This window comes from Homo sapiens, chromosome 11 (genome assembly GCF_000001405.40).
Source record: "Homo sapiens chromosome 11, GRCh38.p14 Primary Assembly".
In the NCBI taxonomy this organism is placed as follows: Eukaryota; Metazoa; Chordata; class Mammalia; order Primates; family Hominidae; genus Homo; species Homo sapiens.
The window spans coordinates 118681596-118709312 of record NC_000011.10 but is presented as its reverse complement, the minus strand read 5'-3'; the positions used below and the strand labels follow the sequence as shown (position 1 = coordinate 118709312).

Sequence of the window (27717 nt, the reverse complement as noted above, 5' to 3'; positions counted from 1 at the left end):
TTGCAAATTTTATAAATGCATATGATCATGTTAACACCAGGGCTTTAGTAAGTGAGCAGTCTTGAAGCATAAGCATCATTAGCTTTATGGTAAATATGCCTCTGATCCTGGGGAAATAGGAATATCCACACCTTCCAGGGGTTATTCAATCTTGCTCTGAGCTTGACTGATCCTCAGAGACCTAAACTACCCACAAGGTTCCAGTCAGAGTAGGGACATGTGGAGGTCAGGCAATTGGATGGAGTCTTGGCTATAGGATGTCTACCATTGGGACTGGAGACACATCTTGTACATTAAACCAGTGGCCAATATATGGTTCCATCTTCCCCACAGGTGAGATGTGTGGGTCCAGGAAGCAAGGCCTGGAGAGGAGAATTATGCTTTTCACTATTATTCCTAATAACCCACTAAAAAAGTTTGCTTCCCATTGTAAGAGTTAAAGAAAGAGGGAAGAAACACGAACTGTGGCTCAATTTAACGACAGATGTATTTTAGAGAAAATAAGCCGGAGAGGGGCTTCTGGCCAATTTTGTTCAGGAGCACTTTCTCTTACGGACTAAGAGTATATATTGGTTTTAGGATGAGGGGGCTTATTACAAGCTCAGAATGTTTCTGTGTGGGGGAGAAGTTTATGGCAGGGTTGGGATGTCTCTGGTCGGAGGGGAGGTTATCTTGGGTCTGACATCTTTCTGGCCGGAGGGGAGGTTATCTCAGGGCTGGCATGTCTCATGGAGGGGTTTGGAATGTTCCTGGTCAGAGATGTTATTTATGGTTTATGGTCATGCTGACCTTAGCCATCAGGCTGATATCCTTTGGGTTTAGGCAGTTTTTGATCAAGGGGAACTTCAGAATGACCGTGCTTGTCCAAGATGGCGATGCTTTGGCTCTGTCACCCATCATCCCACAACATTGACGCTGGAGGTCCTGGGGCCTAGAAAAGAAATGCTGTTAGAGGAAACAGTCATGCTTCTGATGAATCGGAAGTTGAAGCTACTCCCTGCTCATTTGGGGCTCTGCATGCCATAGACCAAGAAGCAAAGAGAGGGGTTATGGTAGTAGGTAGAGGATGGACCCTGATCACAGGATGAAACTGGATTGCTGCTGTTGAAAAGGGGCGAGGAAGACAGTGTCTGAAATCAGAGACATCACTGGAGCACTCCTAGTCCAACAGTCCTAGTCAATGGAAAACTGTGGCCACCCCCAAATACAATGCAACTGTCTTAGTCTGTTTTCCATTGCTATAACAAAACACCTGTCTTAGTCCAACTGGGTAAATTACAAAGGAAAGGGGCTTACTTAGCCCACGCTTCTGGAGGCTGAGAAGTCCAAAATGGATGGCCACATTTGGTGAGGGCCTTGTGCTGCTTCTAGCATGGGAGAAAATAGGAAGCAGAAGAGGGCACGCGGCCAGAGGCAGCCTTGCTTTGTAACAACTGGCAACTGCAGTAATCAATCGAGTCCCACAAGAAGAACTCACGCACTCCTGCGCTAATCCCTTCGTGAAGCTGGATCCCTCATGACTCAAACACCCCTTAAATGTCCCGCCACCTCTCAACATCATTACAGTGGGGACCAAGCCTCAAGATGAGTTTCGGTGGGGACAAACAATGTTCAAACGATCGCAGCGGCCGAGGACTCAGACCCTGCAGGAATGAAGATTTGGGTCACCTCGCCAAGTAGAGAACCCTGTCCAAAAAGGTGCCAGCAGAGGTAAGGTGAGCACAGAATGGAAGTTATGATTACCTGCTTAGGTTTTGGGGACAGCTAAGGAGGTGGGGACTGTAGCAGCTACATTTCATGAATTTGGGGCTTTTTTTCTTCCCCATCTCAATCCATTCTCCATCTTAATCCATCTGGGTTACTGTAACAGAATACTATAGACTGGGTGTAGCATAAATCACAGAAATTTATTTCCCACCGTTCTGGAGGCTGAGAAGCCTCAGATCGAGGGGATCGAGGAGCCAGCGGATTTGGCGTCTGGTGAAGGCTTGCTTCATGGCTCATAACCAGCATCTTCTTCATGTGGCCTCACATGTCAGAAGGCACAAAGGATTCCTCTAGGGCCTCTTTTATAAGAACCTGATCCCACTCATGAGGACCGCATCCTCGTACCCTAATCACCTCCCAAAGGCCCCATCTCACACCATCCCCTTGAGGGTCAGCATTTCAACACAGGAATTGCGAGGAGACGTAAACATTCACTCTGTTGGGTTGGGCACCATGGCTTACGCCTGTAATCCCAACACTTTGAGATCAGCAGTTCAAGACTAGTCTGGCCAACATGGCAAAACATTGTCTCTGCTAAAAATACAAACATTAGCCGGGTGTGCACTTGCAACCTCAGATACTTGGGAGGCTGAGGCAGGAGTCACTTGAGACTGGGAGGCAGCAGTTGCAGTGAGCAGAGATCATGCCAGTGCACTCCAGCCTAGGGGACAAAGCAAGAAACATCTTAAAAAAAAAATTCACTCCGTTGCACCCCGTTTTACTCATTACCTTAACTGAGGAACACCGGCGATTTCAGCTGAGAGTATGACCAGCTGACATCAGTCCACAATGATATGGTAGCTATTACGACTTATAGATCCCCTGTGTTAGGCGAACAAGCTCTTCACCTGGACAAAAGTCTAGAGCGGGTGCTGAGAGGCCAAAGGGCTGGGCTGGGCTATTTACCTTTTGTTTGCCCCTCCGTATGCACCCCCTCACCATCTCCACCCTGCCCTCTGAGGCTGACCAGTGTGGTCCACATCCACCAACTCCCGTGGCAGGTGGCCAGAGGGAGACAGGAGAGGGAGGTCAGGGTGTTTATTTCCCTGGCTGGCTGTATCCCTCAAGGGACAATGACATCTTCTCTTCCTGGGGCCTCGCAGCACCGCTCTCTCCCTGTGGGTGCCAGGGACTGTTCTCCCCTTCATCCCTTCAAGCTTCGTGAGGGCACCGCCTGGCTGCTGCTAAACTCTGGATTACTGCGCCATCCTTTGTGGTTCCCCGACACCCACATCTTTGCAAATAAACTCTCCTCCAGTGATCCTATTTTGAATATGCCATCTGTTTCCTGGTGGGAGACCAACTAATACAGTGGGTTTTATGCCAAAATGACTCTGCTAACAGTTTCATATTTGAACTGCAACTTGTGGTGTCCTGGCTTTTCCCTCTTAAAATCGGAGCTGTTTTGAGGAGAGCCTGGGAGTGCCTGCCCGTCACCCTGGCAAAAGGGCGAAGGAACACAATGTAATCATCTAACATGGTGCCTGGGGCAAACAGACTCAACTGCTGGAAGATTCTTTCCAGTTCCCCATTTCCCTGTTATCCCATTAAGGGCCCCAGGCTCCGTACTGCAAACGAGGCTGCTGGAGGGAGTCAGCATCCTTTGTGTGCCTATAATGCAAGTTCGTGATTTGAAGCAGGGAGGGGTTAGAGTCATCTTAGCAAAAAAAAAAAAAAAAAAAAAAAAAAAAGAGAGAGAGAGAGAGAAGCTATATTATTGAAGGCCTGCTCAATTCTTAAATGTTAATACACTTGCAAATGCAAAAGGAAAGAAGAAAAGACATCTAATTTTATAAGTTTGGAAACAAACAAAACCAGACTCCAAGCAGGACAAACCCAGTCCACTGGCAAGCAGGCGTAGACTGAACGCGAAGTTAATGAAGCTGAAGTCCCAGGCACCGCACTTGCATGAGGCCCTTCAAACACCCTCATCCTAATTTTGTATTCATAATTTGATTCTTTTTCTTAAAGAGGCCTCCCCAAATTATTTAAGCTTCAGGTCCCACAAAACCAAGCTCCGCCCTCTGGCAAGTGATTATTTTGCCTCCTCTCCAGTACACAATGAGATTCTGTTTGGGACACTTCAGTGACCTTTTTGTCTGCCCGCTTACCCCATCAGAATTTACATACATTCTGGGTTCATACAAACAAAATAACGGCTCAGAGGAGACGTGAGCTGTGCTCCGTGACAGTGGCAAGGCTGCAGCCTTGGCCACAATGAGAGCTCTCGCTCTCTGGGCTTCACCCATAATAAGGACACGTGAATGGGTGGGATGACAGACAGGAAACACTTCCCCAGCTTCCACCGGGGCAGGGCATGCAACCACAGCAACCACAGGGCATGGGGCGATTATTTGACTTCCAAGTCCAAATTAGAACATCACAACCAGCTGGGCGTGGTGGCTCAACGCCTGTAATTCCAGCACTTTGGGAGGCCAAGGCGGGTGGATCACCTGAGGTCAGGAGTTCGAGACCAGCCTGGCAAACATGGTGAAACCTCGTCTCTACTAAAGATACAAAAATTAGCCAGGCATGGTGGCGGGCACCTGTCCCAGCTACTCAGGAGGCTGAGGCAGGAGAATCGCTTGAACCTGGGAGGCAGAGGTTGTGGTGAGCCAAGATTGTGCCACTGCACTCCCAGCCTGGGTGACAGAGACTCTGTCTCAAAAACAAAAACAAAAAAATCACAACCACCATTAACCACTACCTCGAAACTCTGTGGCTTCACATCGTGGAGTGGGAGTTGTCCTCAGCTCCTCATGCCAGGGGTAAAGATTCTTCATTATTCAAAAAAGGTGCCATCTGATTTGCTTCAGAAGTCTAACATTTTGTGAACCCTTTGACACTGCCGTTCCAGGTTCAGGAGTCTGTTGTAAGGAAATAATACTACAGTGCATAAAGACATGAGTACTCAGGCGTTCATTCTCCCCAGCGCTGTCTGTAAGAAAAAAAGGAATAAACTAAAATGTTTATGTTTATTCAGTGCTTAGTGATAAATAATTAAATAAATGTTGACACATCCACATAGTAGAATGCTGTGAGGCCATTAACATTAGAAGGTGGTAGAAAACATAATAACAGCCGTGCACGGTGGCTCGTGCCTGTAAATCCCAGCACTTTGGGAGGCCTAGGCGGGCAGTATCACCTGCAGGTCAGGAGTTCAAGACCAGCCTGGCCAACGTGGCGAAACCCCATCTCTATTAAAAATACAAAAATTAGCCAGGTGTGGTGGTACATGCCTGTAGTCCCAGCTACTCAGGAGGCTGAGGCAGGAGAATCACTTGAACCTGGGAGGCAGAGGTTGCAGTGAGCCAGGATGGGGCCACGGCACTCCAGCCTGGGCCAGCAAAGTGAGACTCCATCTGAAAAAAAAAAAAAAAAAAAAAAACCAAGAAAAGAAAAGATACTGACATGGAAAGGTAAACATGGTATGAATAGACCCAGGGATGGGCCCTGTGGTCCCACTCCCTGGTGTTCACACCCTGTGTAACCTCCTCCCCTGGAGCGCCGGTAGGACCTGCAACTTACTTCCAGCTAATAGACTGTGAAAAAGGTGAGGGGGTTTTGCAGACATAATTAGGGTCCTAAGTCAGTTGATTTTGAAGTCAAGGGGGCATTTTCATGGGTGGGCCTGACTAAATCAGGTGGAAGTCTTTGAAAGAGTGTCTGGGCCCTCTCAGAGGGTCAGAGACTCTCCGTCTATTACTGGCTTTGAAGAAGTAAGCTTCTCTGTGGTGACAGGGCCACTCAACAAGGAACTACTGTAGTCTCTAGTTGCTAAGGGCCATCCCTGGCTGACAGCCAACAAGAAAACATGAACCCCAGTTCTAGTCTTACAACCATAAGGAGAAGAATTCTGCCAACAGTCTGAGGGAGCTTGGGGGCCAATATTAAGCCTTAGATGAGACCAGCTGAGCCTCAGATGAGACCATAGCCCCAGCCAGCACCCGGACAGCAGCCTGGTAAAGCTCTGAAGCGGAGAACCTAGGTGAGCTGGGCCCAAATTTCTGCCCTCAGAAAAAGATGTGTGTTGTTTTAAGTTCCTTATCATGTGAAAAACAAAGAGCAGGTTATGAAATAATGTGTAGCAAAATCCCATTTTTGACTTGGAAAATGGGATCTTGACACATACTTAGGAAAAAACCTGAAACAAATACCAAAACACAGATGTTATATAAGGACTACAAAGGTATTATAAAATAGGATTAGAAAGTCTAGATACTTCAGGAATTAAAAGCATAAGAAAAGAGTAAAATACTATGACTAGGTACCATGGTTTGAATGTTGTCCTCTCTGCAATTTACATTGAAACTTCATCCCCACTGTGTCAGTGTTTTTTTTTATTTATTTATTTTATTTATTTATTTTTTGAGATGGAGTATTGCTCTGTCGCCAGGCTGGAGTGCAGTGGCGAGATCTCGGCTCACCACAACCTCTGCCTCCTGGGCTCAAGTGCTTCTCCTGCCTCAGCCTCTCCAGTAGCTGGGACTACAGGCGCATGCCACCACACCGGGCTAATTTTTTGTATTTTTAGTAGAGACGTGTTTTCACCATGTTAGCCAGGATGGTCTGGATCTCCTGACCTCATGATCCGCCCGCCGCGGCCTCCCAAAGTGCTGGGATTACAAGCATGAGCCACTGCACCAGGCCTAATTTAATTAATTTTCAAGTAAACTAATTAAGTGAAGATACAAAGTTGCAGAGAAAGAACATCTAGATTAGGCTGAGGCTGGGCACCTAACAGTTAATACCCTTTCATTTGTAATTGACATAGAAATATATTTAAATTGGCTTAAACAACAAGAAGCAGTTACTGCTCGTGTTACTGAAAATGAATGTGGTTGAATTCAGGTGGGAAACGATGCAGCTTTCAACCAGGCTTCAGGATCTGCTCCCTTTAAATCTCAGCTCTGCTCTTCTCCATGCTAGCTTCATTCCCAGGCTCTTTCTCTAACTAAAATGTAAGCTTAGGCCAGGCATGGTGGCTCATGCGGGAGGATCGCTTGAAGTCAGGAGTTCAAAACCAGCCTGGGAAACATAGTGAGACCCTGTCGCTATAAAATAAAATGTAAATGTATTGCTATTTTTATTTTATTTTTTTAATATGGAACACTTCATGAATTTGCACATCATCTTTGTGCTGGGGCCGTGCTAATCTTCTCTGTATTGTTCCAGTTTTAGCATATGTGCTGTGAACCAAGCACTGTGAATGTAAATAAAATAAAATAAAATATCACTATCATGAGGATAGTGACTTTCTCTTTTTTGTTCACTATTTAATCCCCAACACTTAAAATCGTATTTTTATTACTGCACATCATAAGCACCAAAAAAATTTCCAGGAAAAAAAGGAGGGGGCCAGGAGTGGTGGCTTATCCCTATAATCTCAACACTTTGGGCAGGAGGAGCTCTTGAGCCCAGGAGTTCAAGACCGCCCTGGGCAACAAAGTGAGACACTGCCTCTACAAAAATAAAAATTAAAAAAGAAAGAAAAGAGGAAAAGAAGGCGGAGGTATAGCAGCACAACAATTCTGGAGCAGAATAAATAAGACTATGTTAAATACATTTTAGAGAAACCGAATAACACTGAAGACAAAGAGATGATTTAAAAAATAACCTGAGGGGCCAGACATGGTGGCTCATGCCTGTAATCCCAGCACTTTGGGAGGCTGAGGTGGGCGGATCACTTGAGGTCAGGAGTTCAAGACCAGCCTGGCCAACATGGTGAAACCCTGTCTCTACTAAAAATACAAAAATAATCCAGGCATGGTGGCGCATGCCTAGAGTCCCAGCTACTTGGGAGGCTGAGGCAGGAGAATGGCTTGACCCCGGGAGGTGAAGGTTGCAGTGAGCAGAGATTGTGCCAATGCACTCCAGCCTGGGCAACAGAGTGAGACTCCATCTCAAAAAATAAATAAACAAAAATAAAAAACCTGAAAGATTACCTGCAAAGCAAAAGAAGACAGAGATCAGTGGAATTCTAAATTTAAAGTGCTGCCGGGCGTGGTGGCTCACACCGGTAATCCCAGCACTTCTGGAGGCCGAGGCGGGCAGATCACAAGGTCAGGAGATCGAGACCATCCTGGCTAACATGGTGAAACCCCGTCTCTACTAAAAATACAAAAAATTAGCTGGGCGTGGTGGTGGGCGCCTGTAGTCCCAGCTACTCGGGAGGCTGAGGCAGGAGAATGGCGTGAACCCAGGAGGCAGAGCTTGCAGTGAGCTGAGATTGCGCCACTGCACTCCAGCCTGGGCGACAGAGCAAGACTCTGTCTCAAAAAAATAAATAAATAAATAAAAACAAATTCAAAGTGCTGACAAGGAATAACTCATCCTAGAATTCCACCCCCCTCCCCATGTCAAAATTCCATTCAGGAGTGTTTTGGTTACCTATTGCTCCATAACAAATAACTTTAAAATTTAGTGACTTAAAACAACCACCACCAGCCAGGCACAGTGGCTCATGTCTATAATCCCAGCACTTTGGGAGGCTGAGGCAGGAAGATTCCTTGAGCCCAGGAGTTCAAGACCAGCCTGGCCAATACAGTGTAACCCCATCTCTATAAAAAAATGTATAAAATTAGCTAGATGTGGTGGCACATGACTGTAGTCCCAGCTACTCAGGAGGCTGAGGCAGGAGGATCACTTGAGCCTGGGAGGTCAAGGCTACAGCGAGCTGTGGTCACACCATTGCACTCCAGTCTGGGCAACAAAGCAAGACCATGTCTCAAATAAATAAATAAATAAATAAATAAATAAATAAATAAAAACCCACCACCATTTATTTGCTCACAATTCTGTAGTTTGGCAGGGCTCAGTTGGGACGGCTCATCTGTGTTCTTATGTGATGTTTTGGCTGAGGTGGCTCAACTGGGACTGTGAGATCCCACAGCTTCACTCACCCATGCAGTGCCTCAGCTGAAGGGGTCAGAATGGCTGGTGGCTGGCTGGGCATCCTGCTCTCCCTTTGCTGTCTTTCATCTTCTAGGTCATTTCTCTCTCCAATAAAGCAGGTGAACTTGGTTTCATAGTGGCTGGATCCCAAGAGGGTGAAAATGGAAACTGCCAGGCCTCCTAAGGCCTAAGTCTGGACCTGGCATAATATCACTTCCACCTTCTACTAGTCAAAGTGAGTCACAAGGCTGGCCCAGATTTAAGGGGAGGGGCGAAAGGAAATAAATTTCACTTCTTTTTTTTTTTTTTTTTCTGAGAGGAGACTAGCTCTGTCAGCTAGACTGGAGTGCAGTGGTGCAATCTTAGCTCACTGCAACCTCCGCCTCCCGAGTTCAAGCAATTCTCCTGCCTCAGCCTTCTGAGTAGCCCAGCTAATTTTTGCATTTGCAGTAGAGATGGGGTTTCACCATGTTGACTAGGCTGCTCTCAAATTCCTGACCTCATGTGATCTGCCGACTTTGGCCTCCCAAAGTGGTGTGATTACAGGTGTGAGCCACTGCGCCCGGCCACATTCCACTTCTTGATGGGAGGAGTGACATTACAGGGATGAACAAAACTGTTGGTGGCCATCTTTGTTGATAATGCACCACAACGAGTAAAAGTGAAATGGAGATTTTTTCATCAATGGGAGGCTCCACATGAAAATTTTCTAAAACAAAACAAAATTTAAAAATTAAAACAAGGTCTTTTCAGAGGAAGACTTTTGAAAGAGTTTATCCTAAAGTACCATCAGCAAGAGAGCTGCTAATACATTTTTGTTAAGAGAAAGGAAATTGACCTCAAAAGGAGTGAGAGGGCAATGAAAGCAATGAAGAGCAAAGAAACTGGTAAACATGTGGGTAAGTCCACAGAAGCACTGATGGTGGGAACCACAGCAGCAATGACGATGATTGGTTGGAGGCATGAAAACAAAGTCAGCCTGTGATGCCGAGTGACAGTCTGTAAGACAGAAGGTGTGATCAGAGCTAAAGAGTGCCTTTCCTCCTGCAGGGGACAATTTCTGATTAGCTTTAGATTCTGTAATTCAGTGCGCATGTGAAAAATGTGGATGGAGGGAAGCATGAGAGACTAGGAATGAAATCCATCACTTCCAAGCCCAAACAAACAAACAAACAAATGTATGAACAATAAACAAATAAAGAAATAAAACTAGAAAAAGTAATAAAAGAGACTCAATACATTTTTTTTTCTTGAGACTGAGTCTCGCTCTGTCACCCAGGCTGGAGTGCAGTGGCACAATCTTGGCTCACTGCAACCTCCACCTCCTGGGTTCGAGCAGTAAGAGAATCAATAAATTTGAGGCCGGGTGCGGTGGCTCACACTGGTAATCCTAGCACTTTTGGAGGCTGAGGGGGGCAGACTACCTGAGATCAGGAGCTCGAGACCAGCCTGGCCAACATAGCAAAACCCTGTTTCTACTAAAAATACAAAAATTAGCCGGGTATGGTGGCAGGCACCTGTAATCCCAGCTACTGGGGAGGCTGAGGCAGGAGAACTGCTTGAACCCAGGAGGTAGAGGTTGCAGTGAGCCAAGATTGCGCCACTGCACTCCAGCCTGGGCGACAAAGCGAGACTCTGTCTCAAAAAAAAAAAAAGAAAAATTTGACAGGAGTAGGACAAAAGTGAAGAGAAACAAAAAGGGCTAGGTGCGGTGGCTCACGCCTGTAATCCCAACACTTTTGGAGGCCAAGGTGGACAGATCACCTGAGGTCAGGAGTTCGAGACCAGCCTGGCCAACATGGTGAAACCCCATCTCTACTAAAAATACAAAAATTAGGTGGGCGTGGTAGCAGGCACCTGTAATCCCAGCTACTCAGAAGGCTGAGGCAGGAGAATCACTTGAACCTGGGAGGCCGAGGTTGCAATGAGTCAAGATTGCGTCACTGGACTTCAGCCTGGTTGACAGAGCAAGACTCTGTTTCCAAAAAAAAAAAAAAAAAAAGTGAATGTTCTTAATGTCCCTGAAATGTACACTTAAAAGTGGTTAAGATAGAAAATTTTATGCCATGTATATTTTACCACAACAAAAAAACATGCCAAGCAACCCTAGCAGATCCACGCATGAACAGCAGAGGTATAAAAGCATGCAGGGGACTGATACACCATACATTCAGGAGCGCAGTCATGCCTGGGTGGGCGAGGAACCCAGGTAGGAAAGGGAACACCAAACACAGGATGCTTTCGGTGGATCTGTTATGCTTCCGTTCTAAAAACAGAATCTGACACGCTTACATTTCTTACCATTATACTGTAGACTTTTCTTTTCTTTTTCTTTTTGAGGTGGAGTTTCACTGTTGTTGCCCAGGCTGGAGCGCAATGGCATGACCTCTGCTCACCGCAACCTCCGCCTCCTGCGTTCAAGCAATTCTCCTGCCTCAGCCTCCCAAGTAGCTGTGATTACAGGCATGCGCCATTACGCCTGGCTAATTTTGTATTTTTAGTAGAGACAGGGTTTCTCCATGTTGGTCAGGCTGGTCTCGAACTTCCGACCTCAGGTGATCCACCTGCCTTGGCCTCCCAAAGTGCTGGGATTACAGACGTGAGCCATTGCACCCAGCTTGTTTTTCTTTCTTTTTTTTTTTTTTGAGACGGAGTTTCGCTCTTGTTGCCCAGGCTGAAGTGCAATGGCACCGTATCGGGTCACTGCAACCTCCACCTCCCGGGTTCAAGTGATTCTCCTGCCTCAGCCTCCTGAGTAGCTGGGATTACAGGCGCCTGCCACCACGCCCAGCTAATTGTTTGTATTTTTAGTAGAGACAGGGTTTCTCCATGTTAGGCAGGCTGGTCTCGAACTCCCAACCTCAGGTGATCCGCCCACCTCAGCCTCCTAAAGTGCTGGGATTACAGGCATGAGCCACTGTACCTGGCCAGCTGACCACCTCTTTATCCTGGGAACAAGCTCCTCCTGCAGCTGCCTCCGCGTATTTGGCATCATCCTTGCCAAGTCTGGAGCAGGGCCTTGTGTGTGGTGTTGTCTCCCCTGGAAGTCTCCAAGTCAGAAGATCCTTCCTGACCCACCCTCTCCAGGCCGACCCACCACATCGCCATTGCAAGAATCCCAGCAGCGGAGGGTGGAGAAACTGCCTGGGGAATCTGAGCTATTAAACAAGCCGTCATCCGCAGGGGCTGCAGCAGCAAAGGCTGCCTTTTCTGGGGAAACCTGGAAGTGTCTTTTTGAGTCAACAGTAGGTGCCCTGCTGTCCTCGCTGCATTTGCTGGAAGTTGTTTGCAGAGGTCTGGGCATCTGGAATTCACTGCCAAGGCCGTGAGGAAGGTGGTCGACGTTCCAGCTCAGCGTCACCTGCCAGAGCCTCCTCCTTCCCCAGCAGGTGACCCCTTCCCCCTTGAACCGGAGATGAAGGTGTTTGCTATGATCTCACCTCCATGTTACTGACTGTCTCCATTCCCCTGGCTGAGCTAAGCCTCTGTGGCCATGGGTGTCCTCTGAGCTCTCATGCAAATGGTGAAGCCAAGCCTGGACTGCATGCGGACCATGGTAAGGCCCCAGAGGACATGGTCCTATTTGCTGCTTTGAGGCTGATCTTTGCTTATCTGACCACCAGGGTTACCCTGAGGCTGCAAGCGTGGAAGTAATGCCCAGGTAGGCCCCTGCCACCCTCCCTCCAGCCACAGGCTTGTGTTATGTGAGGTTCAGAGTGAGAAGGCTCCTGAAGGAGCAGCTTTGTGGTGATTGGCTGACAACACTCTCAACACGCCTCCTCTGAGCCTTCTGGAATATTTGCCAGGAACATGACTGAGGCCTGCACAGTGAGGCAGAGGACACAGTCCTCTGGGCCCCTCAGCTGCTGAAATGAAGTCAACTGCAGTGTTTCTACCCATAAGTGAAACAGGCGTATGGCTGACTATCTGCGCGGCTAAAATACATCATTTCCGACCTTTTTTCTTTTTTTTGAGATGGAGTTTCACTCTTATTCCCCAGGCTAGAGTGCAATGGCGTGATCTCAGCTCACTACAACCTCCACCTCCCAGGTTCAAGCAATTCTCCTGCCTCAGCCTCCCAAATAGCTGGGATTACAGGCATGTGCCACCATGCCCTGCTAATTTTGTATTTTTAGTAGAGACGGGGTTTCACCATGTTGGTCAGGCTGGTCTCAGAACTCCTGAGGTCAGGTGATCCACCCACCTCAGCCTCCCAAAATGCTGGGATTACAGGCATAAGCCACCGTGCTGGCTAGTTTTGTATTTTTAGTAGAGACGGGGTTTCACCATGTTGGTCAGGTTGGTCTTGAAACTCCTGAGGTCAGGTGATCCACACGCCTTGGCCTCCCAAACTGCTGGGATTACAGGTATGAGCCACCGCGCCCGGCTTATCATTTCCAACTCTTACAATGGCTTTTGAAGAGAGCTGTTACTATCCCCACTTTGCCAAAGAAGAAACTGAGGCTCAGAGAAGTCATATAACTTGCCTGCATGCAAGCCAAATGTGGTCTCAGAGGTCAAAGTCAGGTGGTCCCAGGGGGTGGGGTGGTGGGGTGGGCAGGCCCGAGCTCTGAGCTAGGGCAGGTGCTCTTTTGGCCCCGAGTTCCTGCCATTGCAGGCAGCACTGATTGAGGAAAGTGAGTGGGAGGTGTTAGACCATAGTAGTTTCACAGCAGCAAATGACTGTCACAGTAAGGACAAGCCTGTTCTTTGCCTGCTTATTTATTTATTTAACTACCACTCACCACAACAGAAACTGGTTATCTGCAGGTGCACAGCTATTCTAAGAGAGTGAATGGGTGTGCAGCTTCCTATTAGAGCTCCAAGGATCAGTCAGAGCCCTCCGGCCTGGCCCGCCCTGCCCTGCCAGCTCTGCTGCCCCGGGAGGCCACCTCACGTGCCGGCTGCTTCACTGCTCTCCCCTCCCGTCCAAATGGGGCCAAACCAAGCATGGTGGTGAACTTTTTTTTTTTTTTTAAGACAGAGTCTCGCTCTGTTGCCTCAACCTCCCCAGTAGCTGGGACTACAGGCACCCGCCACCACAGCCGGCTAATTTTTGTATTTTTAGTAGAGACGGGGTTTCACCATGTTGGCCAAGATGGTTTCAAACTCCTGACCTCAGATGATCCACCCACCTAGGTAGGCCTCCTAAAGTGCTGGGAGTACAGATATAAGCCACCGAGCTCGGTTCTGATAGACTCTTTTTAAAAATTCTCAAAAATGTCCGGGCGCGGTGGCTCACACCTGTAATCCCAGCACTTTGGGAGGCCAAGGTGGGTGGATCACCTGTGGTCAGGAGTTCAAGACCAGCCTGGCCAACATGGTGAAACGCCATCTCTACTAAAAATACAGAAATTAGCCGGGTGTCATGGCGCATGCCTATAGTCCCAGCTACTCGGGAGGCTGAGGCAGGAGAATCGCTTGAACCCGGGAGGTGGAGGTTGCAGTGAGCCCAGATCACGCCACTGTACTCCAGCCTGGGAGACAGGGCGAGACTCTGTCTCAAACAACAACAACACAAAATTCTCAAATGATTTTATTATCAGCTGTAGCACAACCCAGGAAGGTGCATAAAACACATATGGCAGTTTAACAGATCACTGTGAAGCAGACACCTGGAAATCGAGTGGTGACAGGGCCTTGCATCCCAGAAGCTGGAAGTGCGCAGCTCCACACCATCCCGGCCTCGCTGCCCGCCACGGGGGATGTCGGGAAGCGTTTGCCCTAGAGCTCAGGTGAGAGGTCTGGGGATCCAGAGCTGGTGTCTACCAGACAAGGCAGGTGTGAGAAGCTGTGGATGCACACGCTCAGTGTCACCTGATGTTTGGGTCTGTATATATGGATATTAGTCCTTGGTTCCTTATGCATTATTCGACACCCTTCCTTCACCCTCTTCCTACAGTGAGGTCTGCCTCTCACATCCAGAGGGAGGTTGAAGTTAGGCCAGGCAGAGGCGTGCTACAATATCCCTAGGACATTAGAACCTGGACGGAAATGTAATGGGAATGAAGGAAAGCATGTGACCGGAAGGCCCCTTGAGAAGAGAGCAGATGCTCAGAGGAAGGATCTGCTTGAGATTCCCTTCAGCTGTGACAGAAATCTGAAAACCAGAGGCTTAAACAACTATGAGGGTTGTTTTTTCATATCACAGAAGTCTAAGGCTGTCGTGACTCGAAGTTGCCATCGAGAACCCAGTCTCTTTTCACCTTCCTGGGCTGCCATCTGAAGCAGGTGGCTGTCGGCTGAGGTTTACTGCCTCGTGGATACAAGGTGGCTGCTGCAGTGCCAAGCCTTTCATCTGCATCAAGGCAGGAAGAGGGAGGGCAAAGGACTCAACGCAGAGCCGGTTGAGTCTCTCCCCTTTTAGGAGCCTGCCTCAGATCCTTTTGCAGTGACGTCCACTTATGTCTCATTTGCCAGAACTGGGTCCCTGGCCACCCTGAACTGTAGGGGAGCCTGGAAAATCAACTTAAACAAAGCTGGTCACGCTGATACCCTGAGAACAGGCATTGAGAAGGAAACTAGTAGCTTTTCCTCAAAGAAATAATTTGCAGTGGGGACAATAAGACTTCCCTCCCCTAAGCTGCTTTCTAAGGATGGTGGGCCCAGGAGGGCTCAGAGCCCTTGCTGCATGGGGTGAAACTTGGGGTCAGAGCTGAGTTGCTGAGGACGAAGAAGAGGCTGAGCTGCGTCTCCTGTGGTGCCCTTCCCAGCCCTTCACACAGCTTGCAGCTTCTCCTTGAAATCAAAGCTGAACCCATATTTTAAAGTGTTCTGTTTTCCCACCAATGATGTATCTGCTTGTAAATGTGTTAAGAAAGACTGGGCAGACAAGCTAAGTGGTGAGATGTGGGTGGGGACTCAGGTACACGCAACCCCGAGGGCAGCCCAGAGCTGCGTCCTTATGGGCTAGGGCTTCACCATATTGGTCAGGCTGGTCTCAAACTTCTGACTTCAGGTGATCCGCCTGCCTCGGCCTCCCAAAGTGCTGGGATTACAGGCATGAGCCACTGTGCCCAGCCCTATCTTCCTTTTAGACTTGTAAGAGATCTCTACATATTACAGATACCAATATGTACATAGGATACCAATTTAAAGGGACACCAAATGATTGTGTCAACATTCCAGGCTGAGGTTGCATTCAGGGGTGCGGTCCTGCGCTCTGCAGGAGTACGAAGTCCCAGCCCACAAAGCCCCTTTGGTGGAGGTCAGACTCCTCCTAACCGTACCCACACAGGAATCACTCTTAGATTTACAGTCAGAATTAGAGACATTGAGACATTTTAAAAACAGGAGCGTGTGAGCTGAAATATAAATTTCCACCTTCCTTTGACAAATCAGGATCCCCCAGCCCCATAGCAGCCACCCTCTGAGCAGTGGCCTCCCTTACACAGGAATACGCTTCCGGTTCAGCCCAGTTCCCGTCACCCCAAGACTAGGTCCCCAACACTCACTTCCCCCTTGCACTGTTGGCTCCCTTATCCCCAACATATTTTGCACATTCCTATTACTGGAATTTGAGTTTGCAACACTGACCTAGAGCAAAGCCTTCAATTTATATACAGGCAACGAGGAATGGTAGAGGTTCTTGCCCAAGGGCACACAGCCTATGATGGTACAGCCAGGCCTTCAGTGGGGTCTCTTGGGAACTAGTGTCCCCGGAGATCAACTAACACTGCGAATCCCTGGGACTGCAGAGCCTGTGGGGGAGAAAGGGAATGTAACTTGAGTTGGGGTCACTTGGTTGCATCTGAATTTGCTGGTATTGGGCTGTGGCAGTGGAACTCCTGGCCTGGCAGGGAGATGCCTAGTTGTCTGGGCATGGTAGCTCCCTCACCCCATGCCCTGTTCCCACGGGGAGAGAGGAAGCCGCAGTGGTTGAGGTGAAAACCAGAGGTCGTGCAGCCCTGGCAGACAGAGGCAACCACGGACAGCTGCAGCAGGCTGGTGACTGGCCCACAGGCACCCTCCACACCCTTGCTGCAAAAATTGCTGTCGTGTGCAGAATTTCGGAAACGTGCAAAGCCTGAGAGTGGGTGCTCAGGAGCCCTCCCTGGTGTGTGCAGGCAGCCCTCGGTGACTCAGCCCAAACCCCAACCATGGGCATCAGGCAGCTGAGGGCTAAAAAAAAAAAAAAAAAAGTTTCTGATGTACAGATGGCTGTGGTTTGAGTAGAGGAGTAGGAGGAGAGAAATGGAGCCTTCCTTGTCTTGCTCCAAGCTCTGGTTGAGGCGTAGGCCCTGCTCTGGGAGGAGGAGGCGGCAATGAGGCACACAGGCTGGGGGTCAGGCTGCGAAACAGCAAGCCTGCCCCTTGGTGGTCTGCCCGCTGCCCTACCTGTGTCCTCCCCACCAGCTCCTCCTCTCCTCTTGTTTCAGGGAGTTCTCTCCTCCTCTGTCTCCCCTCACTGCAGGCTCATGTCCTGTTTACCCTCTGGGATCTCTCCTGTCCAAGGATGACTCAGAGATGGGCCTGGAACATCAGGAGAGCCGGAATGCAAGAAAATAGAGATGAGTTCGGGCCTGCCCTCATGACCAACCCACCAGCCTTGGGCAAATCCCGGCAACCACTGTGTGGTTCTCTGCAGAATGAGAGGCTTGGCCTGAATGAACTTGAGGCCCCTTGTGCAGTCATAATAGGCCCCATAATAGGCACTGGACCTGCAGGCCTGATACCAGATGCAGCTGCCAGAGCCTGGCCTGAGGTCCAAGAGCCCACTGGCCAGAGCCGGTCCTCCCTCCCTCTCCTCCTCCAAGCTGCCCCTTGAACTGTGCAGGCCTCTTCTCAGGATTGTTCTAGCAAACTTTCTGCTCCAGCTTCCTAGTCTGGGTGTGAGAGGCGGCCTAAGGGCCTGACCACAGCACCCGGGCTCAAGCCCTGACCCTAATATTCTCTCTGTGACCCAGGGCAGGTCAAGGCTCTTTCCTGAGCCTGAGTTTCCATCACCAGGGACAGAGATGAGTGACCCTGTCCTGTCTCCTGGACTCAGGCGATGTCCACCCTTCGTTCCACATGGATTTATGGAGCTGTGGCCACATCAGCCACTTTACCAGCTCCTGCAAGAACAATAATAATAGAAGAAAAACAGCTGGGCACGGTGGCTCATGCCTGTAATCCCAGCACTTTGGGAGGCCAAGGTGGGAGCTATCATCTGAGGTCAGGAGTTCGAGACCAGCCTGGCCAACATGGTGAAACCCCATCTCTATGAAAAATACAAAATTAGCCGGGCATGGTGGCGCACGCCTGTAATCCCAGCTACTCGGGAGGCTGAGGCAGGAGAGTCGCTTGAACTTGGGATGTGGAGGTTGCAGTGAGCCAAGATCGCGCCATTGCACTCCAGTCTGGGCAACAAGAGAGAAACTCTGTCTCCAATAATAATAATAATAATAGAAGCAAAACAGTAACAGAAGCACGGTTTGAAGTAGAGAGAAGTTAGGGCCCGCTGGTGTGGGTGAGCGGAGGGTGTGTTAGAGAGGATGGGGAGGGAAGGTGTCTCTGAGGAGGTGATGTGTGAGCAGAATTGTGGCAGGAACCATTGCTGAGCTGATCTGGGAGAGGACAGTCCAGGCACGGAAAGGGCCGTGCAGAGGCCCTGAGGCACTGTTCAGGGATTGGGAAGAAGGCCTGTGTGACTGGGGCAGAGTGGGAACAGGTCCAGGGAAAGCGGGGCTCCAAGCAAGAGGGTCTGGGCTTGGGCTCCAGTGGTAGGACTAGGGACGGGATAAAACCCCAAACCCTTTCCCCAGATGAGGGGATGTGGATGAGCAAAGTAGCTCAGGACGGGGCTGAGCAAGCAGTAGCCCTGATTCCTCCTGAGACGGAGGCCTGGCCCAGGAGCTCAGGGAAGGAGAGCCCAGCAGGCAGTGAACATCTACCCAGTGGTGCCAGAGACAGTGCAGGCAGCCCAGAGGAGACAGGACAGGCTGGGGTTTCCTGGGGAGGGTGGGGAGACTTCCTGGAGGAGGTGAGGCGTTAGAGTAGATGCTGCCCGTCTGACCTCAGAAGTTCTTTCTAGAGGGCTCCTGTAGGGCCCAAAGGCAGCACTGCCCCAGGGAACGACTCCCAGGCCACAAAGTACAGAATCCTGCCGGCGCAGCGCTTGGCCGCCCTGAACACAGTCCTGTGGGATGAGCAGACCAGTGCCTGGTTCGACTACGACCTTGAGAACAAGGAGAACCGGGAGTTTTACCCATCCAACCTCACTCCACTCTGGAACGGGTGTTTCTCTGACCCTGGCGTGGCGGACAAGGCTCTGAAATACCTGGAGGTGAGGGCACAGAAGGTGGCTCTGGCCCACTGCAGGCAGCACTGCCCCCTCCCGACCCTGAGCAGGACCTGCAGGGGAGGCCGCTTCCTCCGGCTGTGCCCCTTGTCCCAGCCGGCAGGTCCCGCGGAGCCACCGGGGGGCAGCTGTGAGCCGAGAAGAGAAGGGCCAGGAAAGGGACATCTGGCTTCCCGCCGGGCCCAGCGTCCTGGCTCCCAGTCCAGCCCCACCCACAGTCACGGGAATGTCTGGAACCTTCTAGGGCAGCCAGATCCTGATCTACCAATATGCCCCAGAATTGGATCCGAACCAACTTTGATGTCTACCAGCAAGTCAGCCATGTATGAGAAGATGAGCTGGCCTGAGCCCTCCCCGTACCCCCAGGGCGTCCCCGTGGTGAGGCGGGAGGGTCAGGCTTGGCAGGGCTCAGGGCAAGCGCAGCTGGGATGGTGGCGGCGCCCAGTGGGCACTCCTGGGCACTGCAGGGGCTGCTGGGAGGCAGAGCGGCTTCTCCCGACAAGGATCCCGTTGTTTGTTGTCCCTGTGGCTGGGGGTGGGTGGGGTGGGGGCAGTGCCTGACCTACGGCCCGCCCTCTTATTCCCAGTATGACATTAGCAACGGTGGAGAGCCCGGTGGCGGAGGGGAGTATGAAGTTCAGGTGAGCAGGCCAGGGGTGGGCTGGCCATCACCCTACAGGAAACTCCTGGGCTCTGCTGCCCACGATCCCCGCCCCAGGCCTCAGTGTGCTCACCTGCATGTGGGCCTGGAGGAGGAGCTGACTGGTGCTCCCTGTACCGCTAGGGTTAGGCAGGGCCAGTGCCCCTGGGAAGAGAGCCCACAGCCCCCACTGAGAGGTGACAGCGTGCTGGCAGTCCTCACAGCCCTTGCTCGCTTTTGGCGCCTCCTCTGCCTGGACTCCCACTTTGGCGGCACTTGAGGAGCCCTTCAGCCCACCGCTGCACTGTGCGAGCCCCTTTCTGGGCTGGCCAAGGCAGGAGCCCACTCCTTCAGCTTGCAGAGAGATGTGGAGGGAGAGGCGAGAGCGGGAACCGGGGCTGCGCGCGGCGCTTGCGGGCCAGGTGGAGTTCCGGGTTGGCGTGGGCTTGGCGGGCCCGCACTAGGAGCAGCCGACCGGCCCTGCTGGCCCCGGGCAATGAAGGACTTAGCACCCGGGCCAGCGGCTGCGGAGGGTGTACTGGGTCCCCCAGCAGTGCAGGCCCACTGGCGCTACGCTCGATTTGTCACCGGGTCTTAGCTGCCTTCCCCCAGGGCAGGCCTCGGGACTGCAGCCCGCCATGCCTGAGCCTTCCCCCGCCTCCCTGGGCTCCTGTGCAGCCCGAGCCTCCCCAAGGAGCACTGCCCCCGCTCCACGGTGCCCAGTCCCATCGACCACCCAAGGGCTGAGGAGTGCGAGCGCACGGCACGGGACTGGCAGGCAACTCTACCTGCAGCCGGGGTGCGGAATCCACTGGGTGAAGCCAGCTGGACTCCTGGGTCTGGTGGAGACGTGGGGAACCTTTATGTCTAGCTCAGGGATTGTAAATACACCAATCGGCACTCTGTATCTAGCTCAAGGTTTGTAAACACACCAATCAGCACCCTGTGTTTAGCTCAGGGTTTGTGAGTGCACCAATCGACACTCTGTATCTAGCTGCTCTGGTGGGGCCTTTGAGAACCTTCCTGTCCATACTCTGTATCTAACTAATCTGATGGGGAAGTGGAGAACCTTTGTATCTAGCGCAGGGATTATAAATGCACCAATCAGCGCCCTGTCAAAACAGACCACTGGGCTCTACCAATCAGCAGGATGTGGGTGGGGCCAGATAAGAGAATAAAAGCAGGCTGCCCGAACCACCAGCGGCAATCTGCTGACGTCCTCTTCCACACTGTGGAAGCTTTGTTCTTTTGCTCTTTGCAATAAATCTTGCTACTGCTCACTTTTTGTGTCCACACTGCTTTTATGAGCTGTAACACTCACCACGAAGATCTGCAGCTTCACTCCTGAAGCCAGCGAAACCACGAGCCCACCGGGAGGAACGAACAACTCCAGACGTGCTGCTTTAAGAACTGTAACACTCACCGTGAGGGTCCGTGGCTTCATTCTTGAAGTCAGTGAGACCAAGAACCCACCAATTCCGGACACACCACCAAGGGTTTGGGGCTTCCCCAGAAACCTGGCCCCACTGCCCTGCCTCTCCCAGGAGGGCTTTGGCTGGATGAATGGCGTGGTCCTGATGCTACTGGACTGCTGTGGTGACCGGCTGACCTTAGGGGCCCAGCTGGCTTTCTTGGAGCCCCACTGTCTGGCGGCCACCCTTTTTCCCAGCCTCCTGCTCAGCCTTCTGCCACAGTGACAGCCCTCCCCTCCTCACCTGGCCCCAGCTCCTGTCCCATTAAACCTCTGCACCAGTTCCTGTCTTCCCCTGCCTCTTCATGCCCTCCTACCTCCCAGCCTGTCCTCTGATCAGAGTGAGGTGGGGGGCAGGGTCATGACCTGGAGGGCATGGGTAGGGGCCTAGCTCCCTCCTGGAACCTTCAATAGGGTGGAAATCCTGCTCTGGGGGGAAGACCTATCCCTCCTACCCCAAGTGCCCCAGCGCCAAGCCCCACACCTCCAGCCTTCCACTCACTTCCTTAGTCTGAAGGCTTTACAAATACTGAAAACCCCAGCCTGGGCCCAGGCAACCAAGGGCTCAATGCTGGGAAGGAGAGCAGGGGAGGTGGGGCCCGAAGAAATATGTATAATTTATTTCTGCCCCTGATATTATTCCTTCAAAGGAGTCTGAATTTGAATGGATTGTCTCTGATCTATTTATCCCCCAGGGCATCATTAAAACAATTGTAAAATCAGCTGGCAATTAGTGGAGTTTAACTGCTGGATGTGCTCAGGGAAAGAGAGGAAGGGAGCCCTGCCAAGACCACTGTCACCCCAGAGTGGCTGTAGCCATCCCCAAAGCTGTGTCTCCCCGAGGAGCAACCTCATGGGCTTAACACAGAGGGTGGGAAATAGACCAGGACCATAATTCAGCCAGTTGCTCCCCAAATACACAAATGAACAATAGCACGCTCTGGGTAGAGTGTGGTGAGGCAGCCAGTACCCAGCATTGCTACAATATGTTATCTAAAATGTTTGTTTTCCTACAAAAAATTACGAGACACACACAAAAAAACAGAAAAGTATGACACACACACACACAACCAGGCAAGAGAAATTGTCTTATAGGAGTGACCACTAGGCTGGGCACGGTGGCTCACACCTGTAATCCCAGCACTTTGGGAGGCTGAGATGGGTGGATCACCTGAGGTCAGGAGTTCGAGACCAGCCTGGCCAACATAATGAAACCCTGTCTTCTACTAAAAATACAAAAATTAGCTGGGTGTGGTGGCGGGCGCCTGTAATCCCAGCTACTCGGGAGGCTGAGGCAGGAGAATCGCTTGAACCCAGGAGGTGGAGGTTGCAGCGACCCAATATTGCACTGCTGCACTCCAGCCTGGGCAACAGAGCGAGACTCCATCTCAGAAAAAAAAAGTGACCACTATATACTAAAGAAAGGGTATCAATAAACAGATGGAAAGTATTAAAAAGGGCCAGGGGGTATAGTGGCTCACCCCGGTGGTCCCAACATTTGGTAGGCTGAGGCAGGCAAATCACTTGAGCCCAGGAGTTCAAAACCAGCCAAGGCAACATAGTGAGACCCCATCTCTACAAAAATAAAAAATTAGCCAGGTGTGGTGGTGCACACCTGTAGTCCCAGCTACTCAGGACGCTGAGGTGAGATTGCTTAAGCCCAGGAGGTGGAGGCTGCAGTGAGCTGTGATTGTGCCACTGCATTCCAGCCTGGGCAACAGAGCAAGATCCTGTCTCAAAAATCATAATAATAAAAAAATAAAAATTAAAAAAGGGCTGGGTGTGATGGCTCACACCTGTAATCCCAGTGCTTCGAGAGGCCAAGGCAAGAGGATCACTTGAGGACAGGATTTCAGGGCCAGCCTGGGCAACATAGTGAGCTGTAATTTTTAAAATTAGCCAGGCATTATGGCACATGCCTGTAGTCCCAGCTATTTGGGAGGATGAGGTGGAAGGATTGTTTGAGCCCAGGAGTTCAAGGTTGCAAGGAGCTGTCATTGAGCCACTGCACTCCTGCATGGGTGACAGAGGAAAACTCTGTCTCTAGAAAATAAAAGAAAAAGAAAATACAAAGAGAACCGGCCAGGCACGGTGGCTCATGCCTGTAATCCCAGCACTTTGGGAGGCCAAAGTGGGAGGACCACCTGAAGTCAGGAGTTCGAGACCAGCCTGGCCAACATGGTGAAACCCTGTCTGTACTAAAAATACAAAAATTAGCTGGGCGTGGTGGGGCATGCCTGTAATCCCAGCTACTGGGGAGGCTGAGGCAGGAGAATTGCTTGAATCCAGGAGGCAGAGGTTGCAGTGAGCCGAGATTGTGCCATTGCACTCCAGCCTGGGCGACAGAGTGAGACTCTCAAATTAAAAAAAAAAAAAAAGAACTAAATGGGGGTTTCTTGTTTCTGGCTTAGGGTGTAAGGAGTGTGGCAACTGTCACTCCATCTTAACAACAGTAAAAAGCTGAATAAACAACACCCGCAACTCTTCTTAGATCTGTCAGAGAATTAAGGTCACAGAGCAAATTAAGGTCACAGAGCTGCCTCCAAAACTGGAGACAGACAGGCAGATCCAGAGAGTCACAACTTACCAGAGTAGACACCTCCACACTGGGTTTCTTTTACCCAGTACTGGTTTGGTTTCAAGAAAAAACTAGAAGTCTTACTAAAAGGCAGAAAATACCACTTGAAGCGACAGAGCGAGTAACAGAACCAGACTCAACTATAGCGGGGATGTTGGAATTATCAGGCCGGAAATTTGAAACAACTATGATTAACATGCCAAGGGTGCTCATGGAAAAAGTAGACAACATGCAAGAACAGATAAGTAATTTAAGCAGAGGGATGAAAATTCTAAGAAAAAAACAAAGAAGAAGTACAATGAGGAGAAAAAAACACAAAGGAAGTGCCTTTGATCAGCTCTTTAGTAGACTGGACAAAGCTGAGGAAAGAATCCATGAACTTGAGGATATGTCAATAGAAACTTCCAAAACTCAAAAGCAAAGAGAGGCAAGACTGAAACAGACAGAACAGAATATCCAAAACTGTGGGACAATGACAAAAGTCATCACATATGCATTAATGGGAATACAGAGCAAGAAAGAGGGAACTGAAGATACATTTGAAACAATAATGAATGAGAATTTCCCCAAATTTGTATCAGACACCAAACCACAGATCCAGGAAGCTCAGAAAATACTAAGGAAGACAGATGCCCCCCAAAAAGAAGAAAAAATCAACACCTAGGCATATTATATTCAAATTGCAGAAATTCAAAGATAAAAAGTCTTGGAAGAGGGCAGAGGAGTAAAAAAAACCTTACCTATGGAGGACCAAGGATAAAAATAACACCAGACTTCTTAGAAACCATGCAAGGAAGAAGAGAGCCATGTGAGATATTTAAAGCATTGACAGAGAAGAAGACCCCACCAACCTATAATCCCTAGAATCTCTTTCCTGCAAAACCATCCTTCAAAAGTGATGGAGAGGCCAGCACAGTGGCTCATGCCTGTAATCCCAGCCCTTTGGGAGGCCGAGGCAGGCAGATGGCTTTGAGCTCAGGAGTTTGGGACCAGCCTAGGCAACATGGTGAAACCCCGTCTCTACAAAAAAAATACAAACTTTAGTGGTGGCACATGCCTGTGGTCCCAGCTACTTTGGGGGGCTGAGGCTGGAGGATCACTGGAACCTGAGAGGCGGAGATTGCAGTGAGCCGAGATAGCACCACTGCACTCCAGCCTGGGCAACAGAGCAAGAATCTGTCTTAAAAAAAAAAAAAAAAAAAGAAAAGAAAAGAAAGAAAAGAAAAAGAAAAAAAGGAAAAAAAAAGTGATGGAGAAATGAGAACTTTCACAAGCCAACAAAAATTGAGAGAATCTGTAGACCTGTCTTGCAAGAAGTATTTAAAAAAAAAAAAACTTCTTCAGAGAAAAGAAAGATGATATAAGTTAGAAACTTTGAACTACATAAACAAGGGAAGAGCTTTAGAGAAGGAATAAGTGAAGGTAAAATAAAAGCTTTTACTTTTCTTATCCTTAGTTAATCTAACAGATAATGGTTTGTTCAAAATAAAACAGGGCATTTATCCAAAATGCTTGATACCAGGAGAATTTTGGATTTTGGATTTTTTTTTTTTGAATTTTGAAATATTTGCAATATACTTACTGGTTCAAAATCCCAAATCTGATCATCCAAAATCTGAAATGCTTCAGTGAGCATTTCCTTTGATCATTATGTCTGTACTCAACAAGTTTTGGATTTTGGAGCATTTCAGATTTTGGGTTATCAGATTTGGGGTGCTCAATCTGTAATAGCAACTGTGTATTCAACGATTCTAGTTTATGGATAAGGGAACTGAATGACAGCAATGATAGAAGGGACAGGAGGGAGAAGTTAAGACTACTTTGTTATCATAAGGTACTTGCACTACCATGAAATGTAGTGTTATTTGAGTAGACTTGGTTAGTTGTAAACATATAATACTAAAAAAAGAACTGCTGGAGGCCGGGCGTGGTGGCTCATGCCGGTAATCCCAGAACTTTGGGAGGCTGAGGTGGGTGGATCATGAGGTCAGGAGTTCAAGAACAGCCTGGCCAATATGGTGAAACCCCATCTCTACTAAAAATACAAAAATTAGCCGGGTGTGGTGGTGGGCGCCTGTAGTCCCAGTTACTCAGGAGGCTGAGGCAGGAGAATCACTCGAATCCAGGAGGCGGAGGTTGCAGTGAGCCAAGATCATGCCATTGCACTCCAGCCTGGGTGATAGAGCAAGACTTCGTCTCAAAAAAAAAAAAAAAAAACACTACTGGCTGGGCATGGTGGCTCATACCTGTAATCCTAGCACTTTGAGAGGCCAAGGTGGGAGGATTGCTTGAGCCCAGGAGTTTGAGACCAGCCTGCGCAATATAATGAGGTGTTCCCCCAGAACAAAGCCAGTCTGCATAATGGGCAGAAGATCTGAATCACTATAAACCTTGCTTAAAAGAAGACATACAAGTCGCAAACAGGTATATGAAAAGGTGCGCTACATAACTGATCATCAGAGACATGCAAATCAGAACTACAATGAGATATTATCTCACTACGGTTAAAATGGCTTTTATCCAAAAGACAGGCAATAACAAATGCTGGTGAGGATGTGGAGAAAAGGAACCCTCATATACTGTTGGTGAGAATGTAAGTTAGTACAATCACTGTAGAGTCATGTGTTTTTTTAAAGAACATTGGCTGGGCACGTTGGCTCATGCCTGTAATCCTAGCACTTTGGGAGGCCAAGGCGGGTGGATCACCTGAGGCCAGGAGTTCGAGACCAGCCTGGCTAACACGGTGAAAACCCATCTCTACTAAAAATACAAAAAGTAGCTGGGTGTGGTGGTGGGCGCCTGTAATCCCAGCTATTCACGAGGCTGAGGCAGGAGAATCGCTTAAACCTAGGAGGCAGAGGTTGCAGTGAGCCAAGATCATGCCACTGCACTCCAGCCTGGGCAACACAGCGAGACTCCATCTCAAAAAAAAAAAAAAAGATGTTTAATTTTATGTGTCAACATGGCTAGGCAAAGGTATCCAGATAGTTGGTCAAGCATTATTCTAGATGTTTCTGTGAAGATATTTTTTAGATGAAAATAACATTTAAATTTGTAGACTTTGAGTAAAGCAGGTTACCCTCCCTAACTTGGATGGGCCTTATCCAATCAGTTGAAGACTTTAATTTGAAAAAGACTGACCTCCCCAGAAGAAGAAGGAATTCTCTCAGCATGCTGCCTTCAGACTTGAACTGCAGCTTCTTCCCTGTTTCTCCAGCCTGCCAGCCTACCCTAGAGATTTTGGACTTGCCAGCTACCTCTCAAACTCTCTCTCTCTACCCCCATCCCCCATATATGTATTGTTTCTGCCTAATACGGTCCAGGACCAGATGGCTTCATTGGTAAATTCTACCAAACATTTAAAGAATTAACAATCCTTCTCAAACACTTCCACAAATAGAAGAGGGGCATATTTCCTAACTCATGCTATGAGGCTAACATTACCCTGATATTAAAACCAGATAAAGACATCACAAGAGGGCTGGGCATGGTGGCTCACACTTGGGGAGAAACACTTTGGGAGGCCAAGGCGGGAGGATCACTTGAGGCCAGGAGTTCAAGACCAGCCTGGGCGACACAGTCAGATGTAGTCTCTACAAAAAAATTTAAAAATTACCCAGGCGTGGTGGCATGCACCTGTAGTCCTGGCTACTCAGAAGGTTGAGGCCAGATGACCACTTGAGCCCCAGGAAGTCGAGGTTGTGGTGAGCTGTGTTCATGCCACTGTATTCCAGCCTGCTGGGTGATGGAGCAAGACTATGTGTCCAAAAAAAAAAAAAAACAAAACAAAACAAGGAAAGAAAATTACAGTCAAATATGCTCTATACATATTGATGCAAAATTCCTCAAAAAAATACTCGCAAGCCAAAACCAACAGTTTATTAAAAGGATTAGACATCATGACCAAGTGAGATTTATCCAAAGAATGCAAGGGTGGTTGCACAGCATTGTGAATGTAATAAAAGGAAATTGAATTGTACACTTAAAAATTGTTGACCAGGCATGGTGGCTCACACCTGTAATCCCAATACATTGGGAGGATGAGGCAGGAGGATTGCTTGAGCTCAGGAGTTCCACACCAGCCT

General features: G+C 49.3%; 1 long non-coding RNA gene and 2 pseudogenes across 7 annotated transcripts, besides 5 other annotated features; 1 reads left to right on the top strand and 2 right to left on the bottom strand.

Annotated features, from left to right (window-relative positions):
* Positions 1-8: 8 nt before the first annotated feature.
* Positions 9-19764, bottom strand: LOC105369519 (uncharacterized). Of its 7 annotated transcripts, none has more exons than XR_948070.3 (4): positions 8670-8889; positions 4475-4705; positions 790-931; positions 9-362 (listed from the first exon to the last, which is right to left on the bottom strand). It is a non-coding gene; the product is annotated as an uncharacterized LOC105369519 (long non-coding RNA). The 7 variants fall into 7 exon arrangements; XR_007062909.1 differs by lacking the exons at positions 9-362; positions 8670-8889 and adding exons at positions 16198-16361; positions 19678-19764 and having other exon boundaries at positions 470-931; XR_007062910.1 differs by lacking the exons at positions 9-362; positions 8670-8889 and adding exons at positions 16198-16361; positions 18923-18963 and having other exon boundaries at positions 470-931.
* Positions 4098-4599: an enhancer, noted in NCBI's record as "H3K4me1 hESC enhancer chr11:118575423-118575924 (GRCh37/hg19 assembly coordinates)". NCBI's record gives its function as "activates a minimal SCP1, AML or CMV promoter by ChIP-STARR-seq in naive H9 embryonic stem cells {active_cell/tissue: H9 hESC(naive)}" and the evidence as "EXISTENCE:reporter gene assay evidence [ECO:0000049][PMID:30033119]".
* RNU6-376P (RNA, U6 small nuclear 376, pseudogene) lies at positions 6866-6971 on the bottom strand (annotated as a pseudogene).
* Positions 16805-17064: an enhancer, noted in NCBI's record as "active region_5597". NCBI's record gives its function as "activates an Ori minimal core promoter by ATAC-STARR-seq in GM12878 lymphoblastoid cells {active_cell/tissue: GM12878}" and the evidence as "EXISTENCE:reporter gene assay evidence [ECO:0000049][PMID:35858748]".
* Positions 18713-21537, top strand: TREHP1 (trehalase pseudogene 1; annotated as a pseudogene).
* Positions 19116-19235: an enhancer, noted in NCBI's record as "active region_5596". NCBI's record gives its function as "activates an Ori minimal core promoter by ATAC-STARR-seq in GM12878 lymphoblastoid cells {active_cell/tissue: GM12878}" and the evidence as "EXISTENCE:reporter gene assay evidence [ECO:0000049][PMID:35858748]".
* Positions 20720-21234: an enhancer, noted in NCBI's record as "H3K4me1 hESC enhancer chr11:118558788-118559302 (GRCh37/hg19 assembly coordinates)". NCBI's record gives its function as "activates a minimal SCP1, AML or CMV promoter by ChIP-STARR-seq in naive H9 embryonic stem cells {active_cell/tissue: H9 hESC(naive)}" and the evidence as "EXISTENCE:reporter gene assay evidence [ECO:0000049][PMID:30033119]".
* Positions 21235-21750: an enhancer, noted in NCBI's record as "H3K4me1 hESC enhancer chr11:118558272-118558787 (GRCh37/hg19 assembly coordinates)". NCBI's record gives its function as "activates a minimal SCP1, AML or CMV promoter by ChIP-STARR-seq in naive H9 embryonic stem cells {active_cell/tissue: H9 hESC(naive)}" and the evidence as "EXISTENCE:reporter gene assay evidence [ECO:0000049][PMID:30033119]".